This window comes from Homo sapiens, chromosome 17 (assembly GCF_000001405.40).
Source record: "Homo sapiens chromosome 17, GRCh38.p14 Primary Assembly".
Classification (NCBI taxonomy): Eukaryota; Metazoa; Chordata; class Mammalia; order Primates; family Hominidae; genus Homo; species Homo sapiens.
Genome location: NC_000017.11, coordinates 43913468 through 43935309, shown reverse-complemented (window position 1 = coordinate 43935309; position 21842 = coordinate 43913468). Strand labels below are relative to the sequence as shown.

General features: G+C 50.7%; 3 long non-coding RNA genes, 1 other non-coding gene and 1 pseudogene across 7 annotated transcripts, besides 4 other annotated features; 2 read left to right on the top strand and 3 right to left on the bottom strand.

Moving 5' to 3' along the window:
• Positions 1 to 792: 792 nt before the first annotated feature.
• Positions 793 to 7715, bottom strand: LOC102724183 (Wnt family member 9-like). 3 transcript variants are annotated; one of them, XR_001752901.1, is made up of 6 exons: positions 7550 to 7715; positions 5343 to 5515; positions 4276 to 4378; positions 2608 to 2837; positions 1453 to 2443; positions 793 to 1128 (listed from the first exon to the last, which is right to left on the bottom strand). It is a non-coding gene; the product is annotated as a Wnt family member 9-like (transcript). The 3 variants fall into 3 exon arrangements; XR_001752902.1 differs by lacking the exon at positions 4276 to 4378 and having other exon boundaries at positions 1453 to 1604; positions 2318 to 2443; XR_001752900.1 differs by lacking the exon at positions 4276 to 4378.
• On the top strand, positions 8910 to 12534 carry LRRC37A10P (leucine rich repeat containing 37 member A10, pseudogene; annotated as a pseudogene).
• LOC107985086 (uncharacterized) lies at positions 14268 to 16463 on the bottom strand. The gene is made up of 2 exons (XR_001752899.2): positions 15811 to 16463; positions 14268 to 14538 (listed from the first exon to the last, which is right to left on the bottom strand). It is a non-coding gene; the product is annotated as an uncharacterized LOC107985086 (long non-coding RNA).
• Positions 14500 to 15000: an enhancer, noted in NCBI's record as "H3K4me1 hESC enhancer chr17:41997678-41998178 (GRCh37/hg19 assembly coordinates)". NCBI's record gives its function as "activates a minimal SCP1, AML or CMV promoter by ChIP-STARR-seq in naive H9 embryonic stem cells {active_cell/tissue: H9 hESC(naive)}" and the evidence as "EXISTENCE:reporter gene assay evidence [ECO:0000049][PMID:30033119]".
• Positions 16638 to 17458: an enhancer, noted in NCBI's record as "H3K4me1 hESC enhancer chr17:41995220-41996040 (GRCh37/hg19 assembly coordinates)". NCBI's record gives its function as "activates a minimal SCP1, AML or CMV promoter by ChIP-STARR-seq in naive and primed H9 embryonic stem cells {active_cell/tissue: H9 hESC(naive and primed)}" and the evidence as "EXISTENCE:reporter gene assay evidence [ECO:0000049][PMID:30033119]".
• On the bottom strand, positions 17323 to 18102 carry FAM215A (family with sequence similarity 215 member A). The gene has a single exon (NR_026770.1). It is a non-coding gene; the product is annotated as a family with sequence similarity 215 member A (long non-coding RNA).
• Positions 17459 to 18280: an enhancer, noted in NCBI's record as "H3K4me1 hESC enhancer chr17:41994398-41995219 (GRCh37/hg19 assembly coordinates)". NCBI's record gives its function as "activates a minimal SCP1, AML or CMV promoter by ChIP-STARR-seq in naive and primed H9 embryonic stem cells {active_cell/tissue: H9 hESC(naive and primed)}" and the evidence as "EXISTENCE:reporter gene assay evidence [ECO:0000049][PMID:30033119]".
• LOC105371787 (uncharacterized) lies at positions 18086 to 20878 on the top strand. 2 transcript variants are annotated; one of them, XR_001752898.2, is made up of 2 exons: positions 18086 to 18172; positions 20540 to 20878. It is a non-coding gene; the product is annotated as an uncharacterized LOC105371787 (long non-coding RNA). The 2 variants fall into 2 exon arrangements; XR_007065766.1 differs by lacking the exon at positions 18086 to 18172 and adding an exon at positions 18481 to 18567.
• Positions 21137 to 21637: an enhancer, noted in NCBI's record as "H3K4me1 hESC enhancer chr17:41991041-41991541 (GRCh37/hg19 assembly coordinates)". NCBI's record gives its function as "activates a minimal SCP1, AML or CMV promoter by ChIP-STARR-seq in primed H9 embryonic stem cells {active_cell/tissue: H9 hESC(primed)}" and the evidence as "EXISTENCE:reporter gene assay evidence [ECO:0000049][PMID:30033119]".

Sequence of the window (21842 nt, the reverse complement as noted above, 5' to 3'; positions counted from 1 at the left end):
TCCTGGCACATGCTAGGTGATTAACAGGCGTGAGAGCCCCTCCACTCATAGAAGAACCCCCCCCAACCTTTTTTTTTTTGAGATGGAGTCTCACCCTATCGCTCATACTGGAGTGCAGTGGCATGATCTCGGCTCACTGCAGCCTCTGCCACCCAGGTTCAAGCGATTCTCCTGCCTCGGCCTCCTGAGTAGCTGGGATTACAAGTGCTTGCCACCGTGCCGTACTAATTTTTGTATTTTTAGTAGAGATGGGGTTTCACCATCTTGGCCAGGCTGGTCTTGAACTCCTGACCTCGTGATCCACCCACCTTGGCCTCCCAAAGTGCTGGGATTACAGGCGTGAGCCACCACACCCGGCCTTAAAAGAACCCCTTTCTCCCATCTCCACTTCTCCCGAAAGTGTCTCATCTTCTGGCCTCTTCTCCTTATTAAAACTTGCCCTCGGCCAGGCATGGTGGCTCATGCCTGTAATCCCAGCACTCTGGGAGGCTGAGGTGAGAGGATCACTTGAACCCAAGAGTTTGAGAGTAGACTGGGCAACATACTGAGACCTTGTCTCTACAAAAAAAATTTTAAAAGCCAGGTGTGGTGGCATGTGCCTGTGGTCCCAGGTACTGGGGAGGCTGAGGTGGGAGGATTGCATGAGCCTGGGAAATTGAGGCTGCAGTGAGCCAGGATCACACCACTGCACTCCAGCCTGGGTGACAGAGCAAGACCCTGTCTCAAAACAACAACAAACAAACATACAAACCAACCCTGCTCTCAGTGGGGGTGAGAAATTCAATGTCAATGTCAATATCACTGAAGTTTATGGGATGGCTCAGTAGCCAAGTGAGACCAGGACCGCATTTCTACGCAGCCAAGAATCTCTAGAAAAAGAAATGAAATTCCCATGATAAATTTCCATAGTACAGGTGGGAGGAGATATCTGGGGACCAGTGTACCCTAAATACCAGCAAACAGGCTATTCCTTATCCCCATTTGTCACAGCCCAGTGTTGAAGAGCTCAAGAGCTCAAACCATGTGTCCCTTTGCAGCCTTGGCTGCCCTTACAAACCCAGGCTTTTCTGCAGGCACTGAAGGCTCTCAGCCCCTTGCTCTTCCAGACTCTCTTACTCATTCCAGGAACTGTAGAAGGGTATGGGGAGGGAGGAAAGGGGGAAGAGAGGAAAGGAAGAAGCTCAGACGCTGCCTGCTGCTCTCTGAGGGCAGGAGGCGGTAGTGGTAGCCCTGCAATGGGCAGGATGAGGGAATGTGGCTTGAGGACACAACTCCGGGTGGGTCTCCCTGTCAACTGCCCCTTAAACTCTGACTGCGAGTTCCCACTTAAATGGAACTTCCAAATTCACTGTGGAGGACATGCCCAAATTCCCAGAGGGCAGCAGGCCAGGGGCTATGGCCTCCACTTCTCAGAGAAGAACACTGAGATGCAAAGAGAAGCTACGCAGATACCTGGTGCCACCACAGCTGGGGCTAAACCCGCCATTTTGACTCCAAGTCAGTGTGTGACCATTTGGATCGGCCTATTTCTGAGGCCGCTGAGATAAGCGCCGGGGGCTTCCTGTGATGCATGATGGTTCTCAAATATCATTCTCTGCTACCCACTGTGGAATAGACCCAATGATAGAGTGACCTTGAGTCTCCTGGCTGACTTGCCCCAGACTGACCATCCCACCCACTCCGGGACCACCGCTACTCCTTTCTGCTGGGTGTGGCCCAAAGCTGTCCTCCCACCGGCTCACTACTTCCTACCTGCCCTCAGTGCATCTGGGTGCTAGTGATGTCCTGAGAGAGGCCATCAGCTTGACTGCTGACAGTGGAGAGCAGCTGGCCTAGGAGAGGCCTGGCTGCCCTGTACAGCATCACTGCATTTTTTAAAAAAATGTCCCATCAAAGCCCTTTCCCCTTGGTGAGGGAGTCACATGGTGACCTGTGTTCTCCCTTCTAGACTGCATGCTTCCCAAGGGCAGCTGGGGTCTTGTTCAGCTCTGAACCTCCAGCATCTAGCACAGTGCCTGGCTTACTGTGGGCCTCCATGGATGCTTAGTGGGTGGGTGGAGGTGGGAGGGAGGCAGGAAGAAGGGAGGGAGGTAGAATGGGAGTGGAAGGGAGGGAGGGACTGATGGATCAATGGATGTGATGAACAAAGGGACAGCTAAAGGAGTGAACAAATGCATGGCCTGGCTCATGTCATGGGTCCTGGAACCCGCTGCTGCCTGTCCTCATGTCTTCATGTGCCTTGTTTCGCATGTGTGTGTGAAGAGGCAGAGGAAGGTAACTAGGGGACCCCCCTCTCATCTGTGGGCTCCTCCAGGACCGGACTTGTGTCTCCTCTTCTCTTGGATCTTCCTTGCTCCTCTGCTCCCCGAAACCTGAGGCTGGGCCACACCTGGTCTTCAACTGCCCCTCATTAATCCCGGGACTCTTCTCATATGGAACCGTGCTAGGGTAGCAAGGGCAGTGTGTTCTGGGCACAGGGTCCAGGGGAGAGGAAAAGGCAGCCTCTCCCAGCCTCCTCCTCCTCCCAGAAGCCTTCTTCCCCCGCGCCCCCAGCCCTCCTCCTCCCATAGCCCTCCTCCCCACCTCACTTGAGCAGGCCCCTCCTACCCTCCAAGCTGTAGTTCCAGCGCTCATGCCGGAACTGGAACTGGCACTCCAGGCCGAGGTGCATGGCGTCCCACAGGGTCTCAGCCAGGCTGGGCTCCCTCCCGCAGAGCTGCTTCTGCTGCCGGGACAACTTCAGCAGGTCACACTGCTTCAGGTGGGCCCTGCCCTGTGCTGGGGCCACCGCAGTGCCCAGTCCTGGGAAGGGCATCAGGACCTCCCACCTGGTCAGGCTGGAGACGGCGAGAGGACAGAGACGGGTGAGCCTTGGGGATGGTGGTGAGGGGCAGGTGAAGGGAAGGGAGCCTCCTTGGGTGCCCCCAGTGTGGGTGGAATATACATCATTTCAGGGCTCACCCCAAAAGAAGTAACCCCGTTCTGGGACATCCTGGGCTCCTAGCCAGGGTAAAAGAGCAAAGGTGGGCGAGGTGCGGTGGCTCACACCTGTAATCCCACCACTTTGGGAGGCCAAGGCAGGCGGATTGCTTGAGTCCAGGAGTTTGAGACCAGCCTAGATGACATAGCGAAACCCCATCTCTACTAAAAGTATGAAAATTAGCCAGGCATGGTGGCACAAGCCTGTAGTCCCAGCTACTTGGGAGGCTGAGGCAGGAGGATAGTTTGAGCTCAGGAGGTGGAGGCTGCAGTGAGAAGAGATCACGTCACTGAACTCCAACCTAAGCAACCGAGTGAGACCCTGTCTCAAAAAAGAAAAAGAAAAAAAAGAAAAAAAGAAAAGAAAAGCAAAAGTAGAACCAGGCAATGGCTCCTTTTTTGTTTGTTTGCTTGTTTATTTGTTTGTTTGTTTGAAACGTAGTCTTGCTCTGTCGCCAGGCTGCAACCTCCGCCTCCCGGGTTCAAGCGATTCTCCTCCCTCAGCCTCCCAAGTAGCTGGGACTACAGGCATGCACCACCACCACGCCTGGCTAATTTTTGTATTTTTAGTAGAGATGGGGTTTCACCATGTTGGCCAGGATGGTCTCAATCTCCTGACCTTGTGATCTGCCTGCCTTGGCCTCCCAAATTGCTGGGATTACAGGTGTGAGCTACCGCGCCCGGCTGCAGTAGCTCTTAAAGTGCCACATCCTGCTTAGATGTGGCACTTATCATGTTGCTCATGTGCCACTGGCCAGGGTAAGTCCTGTGGTCAAGCCAGGAGTAGTCAGAGAAGCCCACATTCCTCTGAGCCAAGGGACAGCTCTCCTGTTTGGAGCCACTTGCCTTAACCAGGGCTTCTGACTGGATGCCACATCCTCTCTGTATGCCCCAGAAGTTGGAAGCCTCACCAGAGGGTATGCGGCCTGGCCAGGCCCCAGGTGGCCTCAGAAATCACCCGTAGATTCCACACCCATCAGGTGCAGTCAAACCATCATGGAGCATATCTCTGAAACCTCTGAGCAGAGACAGATGCTATCGGGCTCCCCTTGGCCTAGCCTGACCCTGGGCTCCTCTCCCAGACAGGGTGAGGGCAGGGACCCGTTAATCATTAATCTGGGGCAAATGGGTAATTTTACAGTCCACCAGGTCTACACCCAAACCCCTCCCTGCAGCCTGGCAGGAAGCCCTCAGAGACTTTGCAGGTCCAGAGCAGAACTGGATGTCAACTCCAGCTGAGGAGGCCACGCCTTGACTGGCTTCCAGTGTGGAGGGCAGCTTGGGGGCTGCAGCTACCTTGCCCTCAAATGTCCTCCTCCTCACACCAAGGGCTGGTGTGAGTGGCGACTTCTGCTCACACGATTCCAGTGTTTCAGAAACTGGACCTCCCTGGTAGCAGCTGATTGACAGAGGAGAGAGCAAGCAGGGAGTGATGGAAATTTTGGCCAATGAAGCTGCATATCCTTCAAGACCTGCCTCATATGCCATTTTAAGAATAACGGCTATTATTATTGTATCATCATAGCTACATTATATGTCATATGATATGATATATAACACATTATTATTTTTACTACTTTTTTTTGAGACAGAGCCTCACTGTGTTGCCCAGGCTAGAGTGCAGTGGCATGATCTCTGCTCACTGTAACCTCCGCCTCTCAGGTTCAAGCAATTCTCCTGCCTCAGCCTCCTGAGTAGCTGGGACTACAGGCACGGGCCACCACGCCTGGCTAATATTTGTATTTTTAGTAGACACGGGGTTTCACCATGTTGGCCAGACTGGTCTCGAACTCCTGACCTCAAGTGTCCACCCACCTCAGCTTCCCAGAGTGTTGGGATTACAGGAGTGAGCCACCACGCCCAGCCCAAGCTGTGTTCTTGTCTGGGACTCCCCTATGGTATGGAGTGGAGGCTCTAAGTTGGTTTGCCTAACTAAAGGCGTCATCCTTGATTATGACCTCTGACATCTGGAGAGTGCCAGAATTCCCTAGGCTGCACTTGGGCCCAGGGAACCTCACCTCTACAAAAAAATATAAAAATTAGCTGGGCGTGGTGGCATGCACCTGTGATCTTCTTCCTTTGTGGTGCAAAATCTTATTTCTGCCTACTGGCCAATTGATCAGGAATATGCACCCTGGTGTTTCAATCTCCAAACAATAACATTTTGCCTAACAAACTATTCAGGTTCAGGTTCCTTTAGTAATGCCTGTTTCCTCTCCCCACCCCACACACCAAGCGGGCTGTACATTTCATTCCCGTTAGCAGGACTAAATATCTCTGCTACACTCGGCACCGGGATAGCCAGTTGGAGGACCCCTAATTTTCTGCCTCCTAATACTAACAATTGGCCCATGTGTACTCACCTTCATATCCTGCTTTATCTCCCAAAGGCTGAACTCCCTTGTTCAGGCAACCACCCAGAAACACATGAATACCGTCATTCTCCTCCGCCAAGGCCGGTATCAGCGCCTCAAGGAAAACAACTCTGAAGTCGAACGCCCACTGCTTCAAAACCCACACGCCGAGTACAGCACCCCTATTCGGAAGGAAGTAGCCAGACAATCAACAACACAACACCCCTCTTCCTTTTATATTAAAGTAAAAGGCAAGAATGTTAGCCAAACTGCACCATGTTACAAGTTCCTTGCTATTTTGCAGACCTTGGTCAAAGCGAAACATTTCACAGGGGTTCAGGCCATGAGAAACATCCTACCTAACCACCTGACCACAGGGCGGACAAAGGCCCAACGAAAGAAACATCCCTGGCCTGGTGCAATGGCTCACACCTGTAATCCCAGCATTGTGGGAAGCTGAGGCGGGCAGATCACTTGAGGTCAGGAGTTCGAGATCAGCAGCCTGGCTAACATGGTGAAAACCTGTCTCTACTGAAAACACAAAAATTAGCTGGGTATGGTGGTGCACACCTGTAATCCCAGCTACTCAGGAGGCTGAGGTAGGAGAATTGCTTGAACCCAGGAGGCAGAGGTTGCAGTGAGCCGAGATCACGCCACTGCACTCCAGCCTGGGCAAGAGAGTGAGACTCCATCTAAAAAAAAAAAAAAAAGAAAAAAGAAAAAGAAAACAAAAAAGAAAGAAAAGAAAAAGAAACATCCTTGTCATATCTTGCTGGACAAAGGTCCAAGGAACACCATGATGACATCCCGCTGGAACAAGGGCCAGAAGCACCTCATCATGGGAACATCTCATCAATATCCTGCCAGGCAGCAAGCCCTACTGCCCAGACCCCTCCCCACCATACCTATAAATTGCCCTAGCCTGTAAGCAGTGGTGGGCTCTGGCATGAGGCTGGTCTCCCACTTCTGTAGGGTTTATGCTGGACATAAAACCTGCATTTGCTGTTGAGCTGCCCTCTTTCTGTGTGTCTTTCTTTAACCCTTGCTTTTTCTTCAAAACCTAACAACAGTAACATGCAGTACAGGTTTATAGCCTAGGAGTCATAGGCCATACCATAGCCTAGGTGTGCTATAGGCTATACCACCTAGGTTTGTGTAAATATATGCTATGATGTTAGCACAATGGTGAAATCACTTAATGACACCTTTCTCAGACTCCTCACGTGACAAGCAATGCATGACTGTATATGAAAGCCTTAAATAGGGATTAACTTTCTAAATTAATCTCTAAAAGAAAACAGTCATTATTTACTACATATGAATTTTTTTTTTTTAAAAAAGGAGCAGAAGTGTTTCATTTCAGTGGGAACTTAATTTGGAGCTAGAGTGTTTTATTTAACTTTCACCACAAAGTTGCAAAGTGTTTTGTTTTGAAGTTTTTCCCTGTAAAATAAATATTTTAATTCAATTTAAATAAAACCCACCAAGGAAACCTTAAGCTTTAAGAAGTCTAGCTTCCTGTGAAATGTGAGAGGAAGTCAGCAATGATTTCAGAAAACTGATTATAACAATAGCTCCATCCCTAAATGAGGCGAACCTTGGAATCCCTTCCACTTTAAAGCCATCACTATGCACCCTATGCCTATGCTAGGCACTGGAAGAAGATGAAGCACCTTCTTGGAGTTTACATGCTGGTAATTATGCCAGACAGTAATAAAATAGGTAAGAATGGCTGTGGGGGAAGTCAGCTGGGTTCTAGTTACAGTCGCATTTCAGGAAATGATTTAACATGCTGACTCTAACAACCTAAGCCTCTTCTCTATGTGTGCACACGGGGTAGATCTCTGAAGGGTGACACTGTAACTTCTAGGGGAATGGCTGTGTTGAGTCAAGGCAGGATGACAGTTCAGCCTCCTCCCAGGCTAGTGCAAAGGGCTCTTCACTCGGATTAAAACCTTCTCTCCCAGACCGACTTGCCTACCCCCAACACCCCTCCTACAGAAAATCTGGAGTCCTCGCTCATTCCCTGGCAGCCCCTACCTAACAGGGTGGTGAATTAATTATCAAACATGCAACAAAAGATACCGAAAGTTTAGCGAAAATGGCAACATTTTGGAATAAATGATTGTAATGTGCGTCCTCCCTGCCACCCTAACTGGCACCCATTTTGCAGGTCAGTCGCTCTCCCTGGAAGGAAGAGTATTCTCGGATTTCACCTTGGAGGAGGAAGAGTTCAGGCTGCCAGAACTGGACTAGCACTTCTGAATATCCCGAGGCGAGGTCCTGTGACTTCCTTGGGAAGCTGTGCCGCGCCCCGACCCCACCCCACTTCACCCCAACAGGCCGCTGGAGTCCTGAGACCACCCAGGTCTGCGGCCCAAATCCTTCCTCACTAAGGGGAGGGGAGGGGTGTTCCAGCGGGGCGGGGCGGGAAGGGGACCTTGGGCGGGATTGTGACTTAAGATCGCCCTGGTGACATGGAGCAGATCTGGACCCCAACCTAATAAAGGTGGCGTAAATAAAGGTGTCATTAACGACGGGGCGGGGCGCGTGTTTGTCAGGGGCACGAGCGTCTGGAGGCTGCCAGAATGGCTCCCGCTCAGTGCACGGCGCCAGCGCATGTCATGTCCCAGCAGCGTCCCTGGGGCCCACGGCCCCTCCTCACGTGGCAACTATTGTGGCTACTAGTCCAGTAGGCTCAGCCTCTGGAGTGGATCAAAGACCCGCTCCAGCTGACCTCTAATCCCCTGCGGCCGACTGAGCCCTGGTCTTCCCGCTCCTCGCTCCTCCCATCTCCCGTGGGAATCTCCCCATGCGCTTACTCCCCCGGCAGACCCGAGGGGCTTTGATTACCTGGGGTCCTCTGCTACCTCGCAGATGTCAGCCCCGCCCCATTTGGTTCCATTCCTGGACACGGATTCAGCTGGAGAGCTGCTCCCGGGGCCAAAGCAGTTCTCTGCTGCACACCAGGATCTAAATGACAGGCTGATTCGACAAGAAAGGCTCCCAAAGGCGGTTCCAATGCTGGACTGGGATCAGAACCAGACCCTAGTTCAGCCTCCTCGCCTCAAAAGTAAGGTTCAAACTGCAGGTCTAGATCAGGCTGCAGATCATCAGGCAGATGAAATACTTGTTCCACCTCTAGACAGTAAGGATTCAAAAGCAACCAAGTTTATTGTTTCGCCCAAGAACAGGAAGAAAGATCTAGCTCAGCATCGGAAGCTTGCTAAGGCTGTTGGAACTCCACACCGATTTATATCAAAACCTTAGCAGAATGGGCCGGGCGCGGTGACTCACACCTGTAATCCCAGCACTTTGGGAGGCCGAGGTGGGCGGATCACAAGGTCAGGAGATCGAGACCATCCTGGCTAACACGGAGAAACCCCGTCTCCACTAAAAATACAAAAAATTAGCCGGGTGTGGTGGCGGGAGCATGTAGTCCCAGCTACTTGGGAGGCTGAGGCAGGAGAATGGCGTGAACCTGGGAAGCAGAGGTTGCAATGAACCGAGATCGCGCCACTGCACTCCAGCCTGGGCGACAGAGCGAGACTCTGTCTTAAAAAAAAAAAAAAAAAAAAAAAACCTCAGCAGAATGAATATCCAATTATGGATATACTGTATCCCGGCAGCCTGCCTCCAGAACTCTGGGTGAACTCAGATGAGCCTCCAGGACTGCCTGAGCAAGCTGGACTTTGTCAATTCCATCTAGAGCCCGAAACTCAAAATCCAGAGACCCTTGAAGACATCCAGTCCTCTTCGCTTCAGCAACAAGCCCCAGTGCAGCTTCCACAGCTCTCTGAGGAGGAACCTTCTCTAACCCATCAGGAGGCCCCAGCTCTGCCTTCACAGTCTCTTCAGGGGGTCTACTCTTCTTCAACAGAGCAGGAGGCCCCAGGACAGCAGCGACCTGCCTCTGAAGAGTTTGTAGCTCCGCCATTGATACACCACGAGGTAAATGTTCCATTGAAAAGTTGGAGTGAAGCTCAGCACTCATGCCCGCCCAATGTCACAGTCAAATCTGTGGATATGGAGCTTGCAGTAACTCTAGAGCCAGGTAAGGAACTTACGTCAAGCCAGGAACAGGCTGCAGCTCAGCCTCCAGGGCACCCCGAGGAGGTGGACTCTTCCTTAACCCAATTAGAGGCCCCAGCTCAGACACCAGAGTGCCCTGAGGAGACAAAACCTCCTGCAACCCAGCAAGAGACCCCAGCTGAGCCTCTAGGTTCTCCTGTGGAGGCTGAACCTTCCCCCAGTGAGCAGGAGCAGCCGGCTCAGCCTTCTGAGTTTCCTGGGGGGGTTGAACCTTCTCAGATCCAGCAGGAGGCCCCAGCTCAGACTCCAGAGTCCTCTATGGAGAGTCTAGCTCAAACTCTACTGAATCATGAGGTGACAGTTCAACCTCCAGGTGAGGATCAAGCTCATTATAACTTACCCAACATTAGAGTTAAACCTGCGGATGTGGAGGTTACCATAACTTCAGAGCCTACCAATGGGACAGAATCTTCCCAAGCCCAGCAGGAGGCCCCAGTTCAGCCTCCAGAGGAGGTGGAAACTTCTGTAACCCAACAGGAGGCTGCAACTGAGCCTCCAGGTCCTCCTATGGAGCTTGAACTTTCCCTCAGTGAGCAGCAGCAGCCAGCTCAGCCTTCTGAGTCTTCTGGAAAGGTTGAATCTTCTCCAGCCCAGCAGGAGACCCCAGCTCAGCCTCCAGAACATCATGAAGTCACAGTTTTACCTCCAGGTCACCATCAAGCTCAGCATTCAGATTTGCCCAATGTCACTGTTAGGCCTCCAGACATGCAGCTCACCATAGCAACAGAGCCTAGTGCAGAGGTGGGAACTTCTCCAGTCCACCAGGAGGCTACAGCTCAGCTCTCAGGGCCAATTAATGATGTAGAAATTTCTGCCACCCAGCATGGGGGCCCACCTCTGCCTCCAGAGTCATTGGAAGAGGCTGAGCCTTTAACAGTTCAACAGGAGACTTCAGTTCAATCTCCAGAACCTATTAATAATGAGAACCCCTCTCCAACCCAGCAGGAGGCTGCAGCTGAGCGTCCATAGACCCCTAAGGAGGTTGAGTCTTCTCTAATCCAGTAGGAGGCCCCAGCTCAGACTCCAGAGCTCCCTAATGAAGTTGTAGCTCAACCTCCAGAGCATCATGAGGTAACAGTTTCCCCTCTAAGTCATGATCAAGTTTAGCCTCCAACATTGCACAATGCCACTGTTAAACCTGTGGATCACGTGGTTACCATGACTCCAGATATCACTAATCAGGTTGAAATTTTAACCCAACAAGGGGCCCCAGCTCAGCCCTTAATGTCTCCTGAGCAGTTTCAACATTTGAAATACCAGCAAGAGATTATAATTCAGCAGCTAAATACCCCTGAAAATGATGAACTTACTCCAGTCCATCAAGAGCCCACAACTCAGTCTCCAACTCAGCTCTCCTCAGACTTTGAAAGTTCATTGAATGATGAGATGATATTTTCACTTCTAGATCTGTCTTCAGTATTCAGAAGTAATTCAACTTTGCCTAATACCACAGTTAAAAATGTGGATATGGAGCTTACCATACCTGCAGCGTCACTATGGAAGTTGAACCTTCTCCAGTCCAGCAGGACAACCCTTCTATTCCCACTGAGCAGGCTGACTTTTCTCTAGCCCAGCCTGATCTCCCTTCCCCACCTCTGCATTCTCCTGAAAAGGTTAAATCTCCAGTCCAGCAGGAGGCCACAGCTCAGACTTCAGATTCCCCTAAGGAGGTAGAACCTTTTCCAGTCCAGCAAGAGTTTCCAGCTGAGCCACCAGAGCCCCCTAAGGAGGTTGAACCATCTGCAACCCAGCAGGAAGCCTCAGGTCATCCTCCAAAGTCCACTGAAGAGGTCAGTCCTCCACTGCAGCAGGAGATACCAGCTCAGCCATCAGAGCCACCTGAGAAGGTCGAACCATCTCCAGTCCTATAGCAGGCCCCAACTCAGCTTTTAGAGCCCCTTAAAGAGGTAGAATCCTCTCCAGTCCAGCAGGCAGTCCCTGCTCAGTCTTCAGAACCCCCCTATGGTGATAGAACCCTCTCTGACCCAGCAGATGGCCCCATCTTTGCCTCCAGAGTTCCCTCAGGAGGTAGAACCATCTCTAACTCAGCAGGAGATTCCAGCTCAGATTCCAGAGCCCCCTATGGAGGCAGAACCTTCTCCAACCCAGCAAGAGGCCACAGTTCAGACTCCAGAGCCCCCTAAGGAGGTAGAACCTTCAAGCCAGCAGATGGTCCCATCTCAGCCTCCAGAGCCACCTAAGGAGGTTGCAGCTCAACCTCCAGCTCATTATGAGGTGACAGTTCCAACACAAGGTCAGGATCAAGCTCAGCATTCAATATTGCCCAGTATCACAGTTCAACCTTTGGACCTGGGACTTACCATCACTCCAGAATCCACTACGGAGGTTGAACTTTCTCCAGTCGTCCAGGAGACCCCAACTCAGCCTCCTAAGAAAGTTGTAGCACAACTTCCAGTATATCAAGAGGTAACAGTTCCAACACCAGGTCAGGATCAAGCTCAGCATCCAATGTCACCCAGCATTACAGTTCAACCTTTGGACTGGGACTTACCATCACTCCAGAACCCACTACGGAGGTTGGACATTCTATACCCCTGAAGAAGACTTTAGTTCCTCCAAAGCACCCTAAGGTGACACTTCCACATCCAGACCAGGTTCAGACCCAGCATTCAAACCTGACTCAAGTCACAGTTGAACCTCTGGACCTGGAGCTTACCATAACTACAGAACCTACTACAGAGGTTAAACTGTCTCCAACCACAGAGGAGACCTCAACTCAGCCTCCAGACCCAGGGCTTGCCATAACTCCAGAACCCACTACAGAGATTGGACATTCTACAGCCCTGGGGAAGACTACAGCTCCTCATCCAGATCAGCTTCAGACTCTGCATCGAAAACTGACTGAAGTCACAGGTCCACCTACTGAGCTAGAACCTACTCAGGATTCATTGGTGCAGTCTGAAAGTTACATCCAAGATAAGGCTTTAACTGCACCAGAGGAACAGAAGGCCTCCACAAGCACCAACATATGTGAGCTCTGTACCTGCGGAGATGAGATGTTGTCATGTATTGATCTCAACCCAGAGCAGAGGCTCCGCCAAGTGCCTGTGCCAGAGCCCAACACCCACAATGGCACCTTCACCATCTTGTAAGAATCACCTTTCCTCAATTGTCCTCTGTGTCCTGCCTGACATGGCAGCCTTTTCCTGGAGGCCTTCCTGGGCCACCTTTATCTCCCCAAGCCATAGGGACAACTGACTTTCTGCTTTCACCTTTGCTTGTCAACTCTTCCTTCTCCTCATTCTCTTTTACTGTTAGGCCCCTTCTCCACTCTTTTACTTGTGATTGCTCAGCAACATACATCTTAAATGTACAAATTATTGAGTGAAAGAAGTGATACAGAAAATAATATGTATAACACGATTTCATTTATATAATGTTATATAATGTTCAAGGTGGCAAAACTAAACTATATTGTTTATGACTGACATATAATAGGTAAAACTACATTTTATTTTATTTATTTTTGAGAAAGGGTCTGCGGTGGTGCAAACATGGCTCACTGCAGCCTGGACCTCCCATGCTCAAGCAATCCTCCCATCTCAGCCTCTCCAGTAGCTGGGACTACAGGTGCATACCAACATGCCCAGCTAATTTTTAAATTTTTTCTAGAGACAAGGTCCTGCTGTATTGCTCAGACTGGTCTTGAACTCCTGGGCTCAAGCAATCCTCCTGCCTTGGCCTCCCAAAGTGCTGTGATTACAAGTGTGAGCCACCGTGCCCAGCCGGAACTATTTATTTATCTTATTTTTTTATTTATTTTTATTTATTTATTTTGAGACAGAGTCTCACTCTGTCACCCAGGCTGGAGTGCGATGGTGCTATCTTAGCTCACTGCAACCTCTGTCTCCAAGGTTTAACCGATTCTCCTGCCTCAGCCTCCTCTGAGTAGCTGGGATTACAGGCACACGCCACTACCACCTGGGTAATTTTTGTATTTTTAGTAGAGACAGGTTTTCGCCATGTTGGCCAGGCTGGCCTCAAACTCCTGACCTCAGGTGATCCACCCGCCCCGGCCTCCCAAAGTGCTGGGATTACAGGCGTGAGCCACCGTGCCCGGCCAGAGCTACATTTTAAAAGCAAGAATATTATTACAAAAGTCAGGATAGTGGTTACCTATAACGGTTAGAGAGAGGGATATGATTGGAAAGGGGCACACTGGGGGCTTCTGGGATCATTAATTTATTTCCTTGTTGCTGAAATGAAGACAACCCTCACGGAGTTGTCATCACCCTGGAGAGGAAGGAGACAGCCAAAAGAGAGAAGTATTGTCTTGTAGACTTATTAGATTCACATAGTATATCGTCCTTCTCCAGCATGTAAGGCGTTGTCTAAATAGGTCCAGTTAAAGCACTACAGGGTAGCCATTTTTAAAAAAAATTGTTGGCCACATTTTTAAGTTCACAGGGGAGGGGGAATGTCTCACACTCCAGCCCTCCTGAGCCTAGGCCTTCTGTGAGATGTGTCACCCTTTCTTGGACACCATATTGAAATGAGAAAAGTTCCTTTGGGCCCCTCGCAGGGCGTGGGACAGGGAGAGTGACTTGGTTCTTCAGTGCCCTGCTGCTCAAACCTTGAGGGGAGCATACAGACAGGCAGGCTTTGGGGCTCCAACCCCATGGCAGTGTCTAGGGGTGAATGCTTACAGCTCCTGAAGCCCCAGTGGGCATGTGTTACCGTGTGCTCTTTTAGTTTTGCCGTCTATAGGCGGCTTATGTTAACTAGCTCAACTAGACCCTCTACCTTGTCGCCAGGACAGAGGGCTGTCTGTATCCCAGGTTCTTGCCTTGGTGTACCAGAAGAATTGGATCACACCTGGGCTTGGAGAATGAGTGCAAGATTTTATTGAGTGAAGGTAGCTCTCAGCAGATGGGGAAAGCCAGAAGGGGGTGGAGTGGGAAGGTTTTCCCCTGGAGCCGGGCTGCTGAGCAGCCCAGGCTGTCCTCCCACTGCCTCAGCCAAACTCTGCCTCGTTCTGCTGTTCTGCCGGTTGGTGGCCTGCCTGGCGTGCTCCCCTCCACGCCCTCTTGATGTCCAGCTGCTTGTGTCTTCTTCTGCCGATCTGCTCCTGTCCATGTCCTTGTATGTGTGCCTGCAAGTGTCTCAGGGTTTTTATAGGCACAGGATGGGGGCGTGGCAGGCCAGGGGAGGTCTTGGGAAATGCAACATTTGGGCAGGAAAACAAAAATGCCTGTCCTCACTTAGGTCCGTGGGCACAGGCCTGGGGGTAGAGCCCTAGCCAGGGACTACACACCCCCACCCAGCACTCTCCTTCCCCCCTTCCGTGTCATTTAAAGGGACCACATCCTTCTGTATCATTTCCCACCTCTGAACAGGTATATCTAACTGTTGTTAGAATACGGACAATGACTGGTCTTTTGCAGGAACATGGATGGAGCTGGAGGCCATTATCCTCAGCAGAAAACCACATACAGCATGTTCTCACGTAAGTGGGAGCTAAATGATGAGAACTAATGATCACAAAGAAGGGAATAACAGACACTGGGGCCTACCTAAGGATGGAGGGTGGGAGGAGAGAGAGGAGCAGAAAAAACTACTGGGTACTAGGCTTAGTACCTGGGTGACGAAATAATCTGTACAACAAACCCCTGTGACACAAGTGTACCTATATAACAAATGTGCACATGTATCCCCTAAGTTTTAAAAAAGTGCACATGTATCCCCTAAGTTAAAAAAAAAAAAAAAAAGCCAGGCGCAGTGGCTCATGCCTGTAATCCCAGCACTTTGGGAGGCCGAGGCGGGTGGATCATGAGGTCGGGAGATCGAGACCATCCTGACTAACATGGTGAAACTCCATCTCTACTAAAAAAATACAAAAAAAATTTGCCGGGTGTGGTGGCGGGCGCCTGTAATCCCAGCTACTTGGGAGGCTGAGGCAGGAGAATGGTGTGAACCCGGGAGGTGGAGCTTGCAATGAGCCGAGATTGTGCCACTGCACTCCAGCCTGGACAACAGAGCGAGACTCCGTCTCAAAAAAAAAAAAAAAAAAAGTTAAATGTGCACATGTATACCCTAAGTTTAAAAAAAAAAAAAGGAAAAAACATCTGGAAAAAAAGAAAAATGATAAATTAGAAAAAAAAGAAGACAATGCTCCTAGCATCCCCATCATTCAGGAATTTCCAAGGGTTTTAGGAGCTTTGTGTTAGGAACTGGGGGCAGAGACCAATATATATTTATATTTCTTTTTATGTTACACTACCCCAGATAGGAAAACAGAAATTACTCTAGATATTTCAAACAAATAGGGGTTGTATATAGGCAATTAGTGCTTATCACTGGAGGGGCTAGAGATGGTGAAGGTTGGGGGGAGGGGGTTGCACCACTGGCTTTCAGGCTACTTTACCACAGCTGATTTCCAGAGGATGGAAGAAGTCAGAAAACTTGGGAAACCGCTGCTGAGGTCCTTGCAGCCCCACAGTCCCCAGGCTGGTGACTGGTGGGGGAGTATGGAGTCCAGCTGATCACCAGAGGCCTGCACGCCTGCTGCTACGGGGGAAGAAAGGATGACTTCTACCTCCTTTCCACATTCCAAATTCCATGTGACTACATTTTATTGGCAGCACCCTGCTGGCAAGCGAGCCTTGATGTGTGCTTCCTGGGCTCCGGCACCTGCACAGAAAGGGCTGAAATTGGTAGGTGTTTGGGTGTCCGAGGGTTTGCAAAAGAAGAAGGCATGGAGTCTATGGTGGAGTCACATGGTGGAGATCTAGCTAAGTCAGAGGCCTGGAGAGGTGTCATTCTAGCTGGGCGGCAGGTGACACACAATCATCCCGAGTTGATTGGAAAAACACCTGGGATTGACCCGGAGTTTGTTCTGGAATGTTTTCACTGGAATGAAAGCTGAGCGGTCCGCAGGCCATATAGTATTGGAGAAAACATAGCCCTCATTCAAAAAGGCTGCCAGAGAAAAGGTGTCCACAAGGAAATTCAGGGGTTTTGTTTGTTTGTTTTGGGATTTTTTCTGGAGACAGTCTCACTCTGTCACCCAGGCTGGAGTGCAGTAGTGTGATCTCAACCTCCACCTTCCAGGTTCAAGTGATTCTCCTGCCGTAGCCTCCCAAGTAGCTTGGATTACAGGCACCCACCACCACACCCAGCTGATTTTTATTTTTATTTTTTGTAGAAACAAGATTTCACCATGTTGGCCAGGCTGGTCTTGAACTCCTGACCTCAAGTGATCCTCCTGCCTTGGCCTCCCAAAGTGCTGGGATTACAGGTGTGAGCCACCACGCCCAGCCAGGAAATTCAGTTTCTGAAAATACACCTGTGGATCTCTAGCCTTGAACATCCTTGTGTGCTGCTTTAAATGGCTGATCCTCAATGCCTCCCTTCCAACTCACACACGCTCGCTCCCCTACATCAATCTCCCAGAAAAAGGAACCTATTTTATTCTTTTCTTTTCTTTTTTTTTTTTTTTTTTTTTTTTAGAGACAGGCCTCACCTTGTTGCCCAGGCTGGTTTTGAACTCCTGGCCTCAAGTGATCCTCCGGCCTTGGCCTCCCAAGTTACTGAGTTCACAGGCGCGAGCCACCACGACCAGTGAAGCCTATATTAAGCCCTTTTATGCTCACTCTGCGATACTGCAGAGAGGGCAGGGAGGAAGCAGAGGTGCCCTGGCATCTTCAGCTGGCGGTGAGCAGGGCGCTGAGGGTGGGAGAGGCCGGGCGCCTGGGGATGGGAGGCAGGACCGCACCTTCACAGGGATGCTGCCACCCTACCCCGGAGGTCAGGGCCTCTCGCCCAGCTCTGGCTCTGAGGTCCTGGAGGGAGGGAGATGCTGTTGCGACTCAGAAGATCAGGGGAGGGCCACCCCCATTCGAGAAAAGTGAAAATCCTGAGCCTGAAGCAGAAGTGGAGACGGTTGGAGCGGAGGCTTCAGAGGGTGGCGTTGGGAAGAGGGTCTGGCGCCGCCGTGTGGACTGTTCGGGCTCACGGGGCTGAAGGCTCCGAAGACCGAGACCTGTGAACCGTGGGGAGGCTCCATGCGGATGGGGGCCACAGCCCCCGCCGGAGCCCCCACACTAGCCCTGGACTTCTCCACCGGCTTACGACATGATAGCTCAATAAGCTCCTTATTTAACGCACTGTTGTATCAGGTCCCTGTCGCAGCCACTGGCCCTATAGCCTAATAAAGGAGCGGGTGCACGCATTGGATTGGTGAGCTACCGCCACAGCAACAAGTCCTAATCAACCATCCCAAACGGTGGCTGGAACAAGGTTCTCGCAGGCCTGTGCTTGGGCTTGAACGCTGGGCCGGCCGCTGCGCTCTGTGGCTCCCTGCAGACCTGCGGATCGGCCAGGGGGCTCCGATCCTTTTGGGCCGTGGCTGAAGAAGCAGCGGCTGCACCAGAGAAGTCCTTCTGGGTGAAGGTGGAAGCGCACAGGGACCGCGGAACCGCCCAAGGCGTCTTCCGGCGTAGGCTCAGAACTGGCAGGCTTTCGTTTCTGCTTCATTCCATGGCCAGAGCAAGCCACGTGGGCAAGCCCGAAACCAGGGGGCGGGAAAGTACCCTCCACCCACAAGGAAACCATGGCAAGCGGTGGTTGCAGGTAGGGCTGAGGAATTGGGGCCGATAGTTCTATCTATCCCGGTGAGTGAGGAGACCTGCTTTGGGGGTTGCACAGTCTGGGTCTGCCCTTGCAGTGGTATCTGTCTCTGTGAAGACTCCACCACGGGTCGCCATCAGGTCAGAGACCCTGACAAGGTAAGAATTTGCATTTTCCTCTGCACACAACCCTGTTCCCTTCCCCTCCGCATGCCTAACACAACACTCCCTTCCCCCCCATGCCTAACAGAGAGAAAGGAGAGAGACAGTTCTTGAGCCCGGTTCTTCCTGCTTGAGCTTGGTGTGTCAACCAAAAGAGTCAAACTCTGTAAAATATTTGAAGGGATTTATTTTGAGCCTACTATGCATGACCAATGGCCCATGACAGCCTTCAGCAGATCCTGAGAACATGTGCCCAAGGTGATCAGGCCACAACTTGGTTTTATGTGTTTCAGGGAGACATCGGACATCAATAATATATGCGACATGTACAGTGGTTTGATCTGGAAAGGCTGGACAACTGGAATGGGGTTGGGGAAGTGGACGACTTCCAGGTTATAAGTAGATCGAAAGATTTTCTGATTGGCAATTGGTGGAAAGAGTTAAATTACTGTCTAAAGACTTAAAATCAACAGAAAGGAATGTTTGGGTTAAGATAAGAGATTGTGGAGACCAAGGTTTTATCACGCAGGTGAAGCCTCCAGGTGGCAGGCTTCAGAGAGAATAGACTGTAAATGTTTCCTTTCAGACTTAAAGAGTCTGTTCTATCAGTAAGTCCAAAAGGAGGGATCGTATAATTAGGCATGACTGGGCTCCCCTTCCCATCATGGCCTGAACTAGTTTTCAGGTTAACTTTGGAATGCCCTTTGCTGAGTGGAGAGGAGGAGTCCATTCAGATGGTTGGGTGAGCTTAGAATTTTATGTTTGGGTTTCAGTTGGCATCCAGTATCCCTTCCCCCAAGTTTGGGGCCCCTCCCAAAGGAGATAGGCCTGGGTCTCTCCTCACATCCTTGGGGGTCTCAGAACTGCAGACTCAAACCTTTTGCCTCAAGGAATCCCTTTGATGATTTGCATAAACCCTTGGGAGGCTGCAGGGGGGCTGCTCTGGAGCTGAGACACAGCGAGTCAATCTCCCTCCATCCCCCTTTTGTCTTGTTCTCACCCTGAGGCTGCAGGCCTCAAGTTTTTTGGCTGGATTCTTCCCAAAGCAGGTTGGGGGTGCAGGTACTGTAATCACCTGATGGGTTCTTCCTGCCTACTGCACAGACAAAACCAATCCACTGAGACCATGGCATTGCAGTAAAGAAAGAGTAATTGACACAAGGCCGGGCACACAGGAAATAGTTATTACTCAAATCGGTCTCCCCCAAAACTTGAAGATTAGTTTTTCAAAGATAGTTTGGTGGGCAGGGTCTAGGGTAGGGTAGAGGTGCTGCTGATTGGTTGGGCATGCAGATATAGGGGTATGGAAAATGGTCCTTGAATGCTGAGTCTGCTTCTGGTTGGCAGCCACAGGACTGGTTGAGTCACGAGTCTCGATGGAGCCAGAAATGCATAAAGAAACATCTTTCCTTATGCAGATGTTGATCAGCTGTGCTTACACATTCCTTTGTAAGGACAGGACAGTCTCCCCTAAGTTAGGGGACAAAAGTGACTCCTACTGATGGCATTAGCTCTGCCCCTACTCTCAGATGCAATGCCAGGGACTGTGAGGACTAGAGACCCTGGAGCTGCTGGCTGGGTGTGGTCGGGGGCCAGTTATCAGCCTCTCTGAACTCCATGTCCTTAGTACTAAACAGAAGCCCCTTTTGCAGGGTGGGCACTGGGAAGCACTGTTGGGGCCATCCTTTGTTGGTGGCCTCTTCTCTTCCATCTCCTCTGGGTTTTCACGGCTTTTTCAGGAGCAGGCCTTGCCACCCTGAGTGCCCTCCATGACCACAGCTACCTTCTGAGGAAAGAGGCCTCGGGGGTCCTCTCTGCATGTAGTTGCCGGGCAGGCCTCGCCTGGCTGTATATGGGAATCACCTGGGGAACGTTACAAACCACTATTGTGTTGCCCTGCCTCCCAGAGATTCTGCACCTTGTATTAACTGAGCACCTAGAGCCAGGTGTGGTGATGCACACCTGTAGTCCCAGCTACTCAGGAAGCTGAGGTGGGAGGATTCCCTGAGACCAGGAGTTCAAGATTAAGCCTGGGGAAACTACTGAGACCCCCATCTCAAAATTAATTAATTAAAAAATACTGAGCACCTACTCAATGGCCAGCACTGAACTAGGTGCTGGAGTTACAGTGATCACTAAGATATAATTGTTGTCCTCGAAGAACTTCAGTCAGGTGGGAATAGATATTTATTGAATGGAATAATATTTCAAGAAATATCTACCAAGAGGCCACTTCTTGGAAATCCCTGTTGGAAAGATTTTTATCTTTTTTATGAGCAGAGTGCAAAGTTGTCTCTTTAGATGGATGAATTTTGAAGGGAAGTTAGTAATCTAGTTCCTATCCCCCAACCTCCCATTTTACAGACGCAAAAACCAAGGCCAAACAGCTGAGTTTTCTGCCCTGGAGGAGGAAAGTGGTCTCTGAAAGCCAGAAGACTCTCACATTACATAATTCCTGCCAGCTGCTGTCAAGAGCTGCTAAGCTGTCCTCAAGTCCTGTGTCTGATGTCAAGCTAATAACAGATTTAGGGTGCATTAGTAAAGGTATCTTAATCAAGTCTAGATGCCTTCGAGATTAGACTCAGCCATGATGAGCAGCTAAGGATTAGCAAGAAAGATTACAAATTGTTTCCAGGAATTTATTTCTTTCAACACTGATTATATGTATAGTCTTAAGTCAAATTAAAATGTTGTTTATGTTCAGCTGTTTTTGTGAGTTATCACAGTTTTGTCAATTGAAAAATAATTGATGGAAAACTAAGTCAATCTCTTTACTAAGCTTTTTACTAAGCTTACCCGCTAAGCGTGGCTTCCACCACTCGCTTTCTGTGTGATCCTGGGCAAGTCATTGAACTCTTCTGACCTTCAGCTGCTTCATCTATAAAATGAAGGTAATGATAGTACCTGCAAAGCGAGGTGCAGCATCTGCAGTGGAGCCTGAGGCCAACTGCCTGGGGTCAAGCCCCAGCTCTACACTGACCCATGTGATGCCTTTGGACAAATTACTTGACCTCTTTGCTTGTTTCTTTATCTGAGGTCTGCTGCCAAGAACCTGCAGATTCCCAGTCTGCCTTGGGTGATGGCGGGTGCTCCTACAGTCTGTACTGGTGAGGGTGGGGACAGCCCCCCACATGGCTCTGGCCTGGAAAAAGGCCATTTTTGGGGAGGGGTGGATGGCAGCTTCTCCCCTTCCCAGGGCTCCACATCTCCCCATACCAGTACCTCAGGGAAGCGAGCTGGAAGTAGAGGTGTCAGAGGGCTTGAAGCCCCTATGGGGTGGCAGGGAATGGGCAGGAGGTTCCCCGCTCTGTCCTCAGGCACCTCAGAGAGGAGAGGTGCACAGGGTGAGCCCAGGGTAGGTGAACCCCAATGAGGAGGGCAACGAGAAGATCCCTGTGGGGCGTGGGGGAGGCTGGACCTGGGCAGTTGGTGCCAAGCAGGGCTGGGGACAGAGTCGCTGGGTGGTCAAGGCAGGGGAGGGGCAGAGAATAGCTCTGGGATGGACTGTCCTGCATTCCTAGGAAGGGATATGGCCAGGGCACGGCCTGGGTGCCCAGGGCTCCCCCATCATGGCTCACAGCGCATTTTTATCAGGCCACGCAGTGGTCGCAGAGCCTGCGAGGTGGATATTATCCTGCCCGTTTAACAGCAGGGAAAGCCCAGGACA